Below are 8,450 nucleotides of genomic sequence, written 5' to 3' on the forward strand. Positions count from 1 at the left end.
CTGGATTTTTTGGTTGTTTTTAGGAAGACGGGTCTGAAGAAGCAAGGACTGGCAAGTCTGATCCCCCACTCTGATTCTCATTGCTGAATGTCTGGGTCTTCCTTGTGTACCTGCTGGGGTGGGAGACTGCTCGCAGCATACCTGGCCTATGACATGCCTAGCTCTCTGGGGTGGATCTTGGACAGGAAGACTGCTTCTGCCAGAGTAAAGAATATGACGGAGCTCCTCATCCGATGGAGCCTCTGGGAAGAGGCGAAGAGCCAGCTGGAAGCCTGGTGGGCCTCCGCTGCCAGCAGGACAGATGCATCAAGTCAGGTTTATGGGAGAAGTCTTCCCAGACCACTATGTCCAAACTTCTGTCCATCCTGCTATAACCTCTCCAGTTAGATGGATGAAAACCAGACCAGTCAGCCATGGACCAGAGCTGCAAAGATAAGAACCCAAAGAAGAAACAAATGGTGTAGCATTAAGTATTTCTTTCCACTTGAGCAGAAAAATCGGAGACTAAGGGAACTGGAGGAGTGTGGCCTTTGAATGAGACTTGAGGTGGTGAGACAGCAAGTGAACGTGGGGATACTTGCTCAGAGCTTTGCTAGAATACCTCATGGTTTACTGGACCTAGGACCTTCTTGATATAGAAATGACCATAAAAAGAAAGCAGACAGATTCCCATGAAGAAAAAGTGACCTCTCCTCTGAATTCCATGCTTGGAAAAGTACTTATTTAAAGGAAGGAAAAAAGTCTCCAAAGCAAAACCTGGCTTGTTTAGATAACTTGGTCTAGGAACATGGCGGAAGCTGAACCCAAGAACATGCCTGCACAGTGCAACTTCTGGGTGGGAGTCAGTTGTCTTTTCTGAGTTCCCTGGACCTGAGAGTGTGACACTGAGACCAGGGGTGTGGAGAAATCTATCTCATATTTATGACATGTGGTGGGATCTTTACTGAGCATTTCAACCCATCCTGTAGTAAAGAGTGCTGAATCATGGTGGGTCACCCTTCTAGACTAGAGACAGCCTGGGTGGGTTCACTGGAACCAGCCAAAATGGCCACAGGACCAGCTTGAGTCTCCACTACAAAGGGCAGGTGAGGGGAGCAGGAGGTAGAACGTTCACAGGACAGGACGATCAGGAGCAGAGAGTTGCTCTAAGATATGAGCACCAGATGGGGAAATTTAACAGAGTGGACTGTAGAGTCACTTGGAAGGAAAAATGGAAGAGGATTTTATATTACAGCTGCTGTCAATGGTTCTAACCTTGTAGAAATCTATAGGTAAAAATATTGTGAAATTACATATGCCCTTTGTTTTCACTTAGTTTTTAATTTCGCTTACTCTAATTACTAGCTTTTCAATATAGGTTTAAAAAGCAGTTATCAGATTTTTATTAATTAAGATAGAAGAAATCTTTTCTCATAGACTATTTAGTTTTTTATTTTGAAATTATGTTAAACTTATAGAAAAATTTACAAAAATAGTACAGAGAGTTCCTGTATATCCTTCAACTAGCTTTCCCTAGTGTTACTGTCATACTTAACAATAATACATTGATCATAAATAAGAAATGAACATTGGTACGACACTATGGGCCTAACTACAGACGTTATTCCACTAGTATCCTTTTTCTGGCTCAGGATCCAATTCAGGATCTCAAATTGCCTTTAGTTATCACGACTCCCTAGTCTCTTCCAATCTGTAATTGTCCCAAATTTTTCTTGACAACTTCAACATATGTTTTTAAAACTTTTTATTTTGAGATAACTTTAAATTCACATGCAGTTGCAGGAAATAATACAGAGAGATCCCTATATTCCTCACCTAGTTTCCCCCATTGGTAACATCTCAATAACTATGGCATAATATCACAACTTGGAAATTCACATTGATGAGGTACATGGATCTTCTTCAGATTTCACCAGTTTCACATGGACCTGTGTGTATCAGTGTGTGTGTGTGTGTGTGTGTGTGTCTGTTTGTATCAGTTCTGTGCAGTTTTATCACATGTGTAGATTCATATGGCCACTACCAGAGAACAGTTCTATCACAAGGACCCCCAGTGCTACCCTTCTATAGCTATTTCCGTTTATCCCCAGCTCCCAATCCCTGGCAGCCATTAATTTGTTCTCTATCTCTATAGTTTTGTCATTTCAAGAATATCATATAAATAGAGTTATACAGTATGTAATCTCTTGAGATTGGCTTTTTTTCACTCAGCCTAATTTTCTTGAGATCCATCCATGTTGTTGCATTGGTCAATAATTCATTCATGTTTCTTGCTAAGTCGTACTCCATGGTTTGATGGACCAGTTTGTTTAGGCATTCAATTGTCGAAGGACATTTGCACAACCTCAGTTCTTTTGAAGTCAGTTTTTGTAGAATGTCTTTTGATTTGAGTTGGTCTGATGTTTTCACATATTTAGATCATGGCAATGCATTATCATCATGAATACCACAAAAGGGCTGTGCCCTTCTGAGTTCATCCTATCAAGGAGTACATGAAGTCAATATGTCTCATTACTGGTGATATTAACTTTAATAGATTGGTTAATTGGTGTCTGCCAGGTTTTTTTCTGCTGTGAAATTACTGTTTTTCCTTAGTAAATAATAAATATTTTGGAGGAAATTGCTTTCTTTAACGGAACTTTGATAAATGTGGATGGTGTATTCTTAGCTTTCATATTTATCTTGACCCACAAGCCTGTGGCTTTCTGGGTCACTTTGTCCAAAGCAGAGCCAGAGCTTGTCATGAGGTATCAGTGATTAGAGGAGGACGCATTATCCAAAGAGGAAACTAAACACTCTATGCTTCTTAGAACACATTCTTCAATGTCAAATCTTGATTGAAAAAAAAAAAAAAAGCCCAGCTAAAAATGCTAGCACTGTGGGTGAGGACACACTTTTCAATAATTTCCTCTGGTGGGTTACGCACCTGCTTAGATAGCGAAAACTTGTCCCTTTGGAAGTAGATTCAGCTAAAAGTGTGCTGTGGGTGGCTTTGACTCAGACCTCTGAAGGGAGCAAGGTTGGCCAGTCACCTACCTAGATGGGGACCCATCTGCTCTGTGTCTCCTGTTATAATGGAGGAGGGGTCCTTCTCTCACTTGAGAACAACTCTCCCCATTGCCCACCAATGCTTTGGCTCCTATCCTCTTCCTCATTTATGGGAACTTTATGCTATCACTTTTACCATCTTTCTCTGTTACAATCTATTATCGATCACGGCTTGAACTACAGATAGTTAAACATACTTAAATCTTTCCAGTCTTAAAAGTTATAAGGAATATAAATAAAGTAAGTAAGTGAGTAAGGAAATCAGTAAGGAGGTGCCCTGAAAATTCCAAGGGGCCCAAAACTCCAAGGACATTTCCACCCCACCTATAAATGAGTGGCTCAGTGGCCATGTGACCTGGTTTTGACCAAAGTGATGGCAAGATGGGTTTGCTGTGAATGTTTCTTCTTGCTCTCAAATGACAGACACATGGATGGGTTTAATCTTTTTCTCCCAGTGGACAGGAACCAGGAATGACAGTCCTGACTTCCACATCAGCCATCCTACAATTGCGATATGAACCAGGTTTAGGATGAAACAGCCATGTGGATGTTGGAATGGAGAGATGGAAAACATCTAGGCCTTCCAACATGTTAATGTTGGAAAAACAGGATATAGCATGGTTTCAGGTAGACCTAGTTTGTTCTAGCTCTTGCTCTTACTAACAAATTACTTCATTTCTCTCATTCTCAGCTTCCCTGTAAGATGAGAATAACAATAGTGAGAAGAATTAACATTTGATGAGATCTAATTATGTGCTAGGCACTGTTCTAACTCACTATGTCCATTCATTAAATAGTCACATGATCCTAATTAGATGAACACTCTTATTGTCCATGTTTTAGAGAGAGGAAAAAAAAAGCTTAGAGAAGTTGTTTCTAGCACAAAGTCACAAAGCTAGTAAAAAACGAAGCCAAAATTCCAAACAGATCTTGGGGTTCTATCCAACTCCAAGTTCTTACTACTTATTTGGAAGGAGGTATAATTTGAGTCTGAGCCCTTACTATCTAGCACAAGGCCAGGACATGGTAGGTGTTTAATAAATGTTTGTTGAACAAATGTGGACTCTTCATATACTTTTTGCCAGCATAGAAATTGGGATTTTCCTTTTGTGAGCAGAGAAATGCTGAGAGCTGATTGGAAAGAACAAGAACTCTGACTGAAGGCAAGTTGTGACTTGTAGTTGGAGAGACTTAATGTCACCAAGCCACCAGTTAGTGGCCTGTTCTATGTCCCTGGAAACCCAAGCTGTGCTTTAGGCCAACAAGCTAGGAAATTATAAACAGATCTGTAGTACATGGGGCTCTGTTTTTTTTTTTTTTATGGAGTCTTGCTCTGTCACCCAGGCTGGAGTGCAGTGGCGCGATCTCAGCTCACTGCAACCTCTGCCTCCCAGGTTCAAGTGATTCTCCTGCCTTAGCCTCTTGAGTAGCTGGAATTACAGTTGCATGCCACCATGCCTGGCTAATTTTTTGTGTTTTAGTAGAAATGGGGTTTCACCGTGTTAGCCAGGATGGTTTCGATCTCCTGACCTCGTGATCCTCCCGCCTTGGCCTCCCACAGTGCTGGGATGAGAGGCGTGAGCCACTGAGCCCAGCCACATGGGCCTCTCTTTACACTCATAAGGAGGGTTGATGCAGGACCACAGTACTTTTACACACTGTACCAGCAGAAGGAGTCTCCATCAAGATGCCAAAAGCACATCCTTATTGTGAGGAACTCCTTATACAATATTATGATGGTCTCCAAAAGAGGAAAGGTAGAATAAACATTATTTGAGTTTAGCACTTGATAATTTATGGGTTTAGAGTGTCAGGACATTAGAGACAACCTTGCAATGCTCAGCACAACTTGACCATACAATTTTTAAATTATTAATTATAAATTTCTTATATTAGATAAAGCAATTAAACCAGTGCTGATGAAGCCATGATGGAGATGGCCGTGGGAGGAGTAGGCCTAATTTTCATGAATGGAGCTGGTGAGGAGCACTAGAAGATGCTGGAATCCTTGTCACGGCCCAGGGTTATTGTAGTTGATGCTACATTCATTCTATTTGAATGATGCACCAAGACCCAATCCCCTTCCTTTGGTTCTCCCTGGACAAGAGCCTTGGCAGAGACTCACAGACATCTAAACTTCGGTCTAGGGGGAGTCATTAAGACCTCATTTGTCACCCATCACATCTATCCCTAAAGAGAGAGTGCAAGGACTATGAAAATATCCTGTCCTGGGATTAGGGAAATAGGCAGTTGGAGCCATTTCCTTCCTTGTCTGCTGATCTAAGAAAGAGATTCCTTTTCCTATTTATGTTCTGGTTTTAAGAAATTACTAATTTGATCAGACTGTGCTCATGGATAAGAGACAATAAGAAGATGCTGTCTTTAATTTCTTCGAATAATTTAATATTCAATCTTAATAGATCTTCCATTATGAAGGATGAAGTAGACAAAAGTTAACTACAGCTTCTGCCTCCATTCTTGGAAAAGACATGCCAGCAATTAGATGCTGGTGGTGAAGGACTCTTTCCACAAGTTATGGGATTACTGTCATAGTCCTTCAAACAACACAGGACTTGATGCTGTTTTAACAGTTTTTGTCTGAAAACTACCTTGATTTTGTTTTTTGCCTGTATTGTCCTCTTTTAATCATTCAACCTGGCTGGGATTCAGCAATTTCTGTGTTTCAAACCTTTCGACTGACTTAACCAATTTTAACACCTTTGCTTCTTTCACTTTGATCCTTGAATTAGCTTCCCAGAGATACTCTAAAAGATTTATGATTAAAACTTCTTTCTGGGTAAAAGATTATTATTAATAGTATTTAATTTTAATGTTTCCCATGTTTGCTATCTGCCCTCTTTTTCTTCACAAGTTTAACATAACTTTTTCCCTTATTCTCACATGTCTAAAACATCTATCCCATCATCAATGGTAAGGTCATTTTGTTTTGCTTATTTTTCCCCAACATGTGCAGATCTGGAGAAATACTATATAACTTCAGAGATAATGCTATTATCATCACATTCACAGTGACATAAGAAAGCTGATGACAGTAACTGCTAGAGTAGGTCTATTATCTGTTTCTCACCAAATCTTTACCTGGCTCTTCTCAGATAAGCTATTAGACATGGGCTTTGGGTCACACAGGTCTTGATCCAAATCCTGGTTGCACTACTTACTAGCTTTGTGGCTTTGGGGAGTCTTTTAAGTACCCTCAATTGGTCTAGATAGGCCAGCTTATGCTGCAGTAAAAAACAATCTCAAAATTTCAATGGATTAAAACAAGAAATGTTTATTTCTTGCTTAAGCAAAGTCTCATACAGGTATGGGCAGCTCTCTAGCACAGCTGTTGTCTTCATGATGGCTCAGCATTAACCATTCACGTCTACACTGGTTTCCTGGGTCACCATGGCACAAGAAAGGTTAAGTGGAGAATTAAGCATCAACAACTAAATGTTCCTATCCAGGAAAAACAACATTACTTCTGCTTCCTTTTCACTGGACAGAATTCATATGACCACAACTAATATCCATATGGCAGAGCATAGCTACTTCCATGTGCGCAGAAAGAAGACAGAAGTGGATACCAATGAACAATTATAATGCCGCATTCCCTAACCTTCATTTTCCTCATCAATAAAATGGCAAAGGATTATTATGTCAAGTCAATAAGAAAATGTATATTAAATGCTTAGAATTAAAACTGCAAACACTCAGATAATTGGGAGTTTTTATTATATATGTTAAAATGTAATAGCATGGACATAACATCTCTTTTGCATGAAGGGAAAGCAAAAGACATGATATTAAGAGCTCTATATGCTATTTCCAATAAAAGCCCCATCATCTACAACTGCTATTTGAGCCACTTGAGTGCAAGATATAACTCATTGTATCATTCAGAGAAAGAGTGAGAAGGACATACACCAAAATATTAGCAATGGTTATCTCTAGTTGTGAAGTTGTAAAAAAATCTAGTTTACTTCTTTATAAATTTTGTTTTTTTCTGGCTTTTCTACCATGAGTATGTATTATTAAGAATAATAGCTTATTACATACCAGACTCCCATTTTAATTCCCACAATATATTATGATTTTGATGTTATTATCCCAATTTTACACTTAAGGAAACTGGGGCACAGAGAAGATAAGTAACTTGCCCAAATAATGAATGATAGAGTCAGGATTTGTATATTAATCATAAAAAATAAATATTTTTAATAGTACAACATTATATTTATGACCCCAATATTAAGTGCACAATATGTGCCAGTCACTGTATAAGGGCCTATGGGAGATACTAAGATGAAGAAGATACAGTCTCAAGGACCTTACCGTATCATTGAGGAGGTAAGCCACATATATACACAAAAAAGTTTATGATGCAAGTCCGTACATCAGAGACAATCATTCAAAGACAGAGACATGGTCTTCTTCATATTCAGGACCTGGCATAGAACAGCTGCTGGATACTAATTTGCTGAATGAATAAATGATTAAATGGAATTTCAGAGCATCTAATTTTACTGATGAGAAGATGAAAGTCCAGAGAGGTTTCTTGGCTTGCTAGAATTGCACAGCTATTTAGTGGGTGGACTGAGAGAGCCTGTTAGTCTCCTGCTCTCTTCTACTAGCTTCTCCAGGGGAGAGAGGACCTTTGGGATGGATCAGTCTAAGTAAGCTTCTGCTTTGCCATGTCAGACTTGATGATATCACCCTGATTCACTCTGTATCACCAGGGCCTGAAATGTCTCTTCTCAAGATGATCCATGGCCTCCATGTTGCTTCACTCATGAGCACTTCTCTGTCTGCATGGTACTTGACCTTTCAGCAACATTCAACACAGTGACCACTTCCTCCTTCTTGAAATACTTTCTCCTCTAGGCTTCTGTGACAGCACAATGACCCATTTCTCTCTTTTTTCATTGTTCATTCTGTCTGGTCTCCTTTGCTGACTTCTTTTCTAGCTGACCACTAAATACTTGAGCTCCTCAGGGATTAATCTACTCTACCAACACACTCTACTTAATTCCAACAAGTCCAGCCATTCAACTGTCATGTTTTATGCAAATGAGTTGGAAATCTATATCTTTTCCCTCAGTTCTGGATTCATGTATGTAAATGCTTACCTGACATTTTCACTTGAATGCCTAATATGCATCTCAAATTGGTTTCAAAACCCAAACTTATTTTCCCCCACTCTTCTACATTTCAATAAATGACATCAGGAATCTCCCAGTTGGTCAAGATAATAACCTAGGAATTATTCTTTTGTGATCCCTTCCTTAAATTGTAACGTCCAATCCACCAATAATTCCTCTTTTCTGCCTCCAAAATATGTTCCCAAATTTATTCGCATCATTTCTTTCCCACCTCCTCATTCTAATTCTTGCTTGGATAAC

At 39.5% G+C, this 8,450-nt stretch overlaps 1 long non-coding RNA gene across 1 annotated transcript in view; it reads left to right on the forward strand.

The window, feature by feature from the left end:
* The window catches only part of NGF-AS1 (NGF antisense RNA 1), an 85,039-nt gene extending 82,613 nt beyond the window's left edge, over positions 1-2,426 (forward strand). The window contains exon 2 of the long non-coding RNA NR_157569.1: positions 24-2,426. This is a non-coding gene — a long non-coding RNA (NGF antisense RNA 1). The remainder of the gene's footprint in view (positions 1-23) is intronic.
* The last annotated feature ends 6,024 nt before the right edge of the window (positions 2,427-8,450 follow it).

Source organism: Homo sapiens, chromosome 1 (assembly GCF_000001405.40).
Source record: "Homo sapiens chromosome 1, GRCh38.p14 Primary Assembly".
Lineage (NCBI taxonomy): Eukaryota > Metazoa > Chordata > Mammalia > Primates > Hominidae > Homo > Homo sapiens.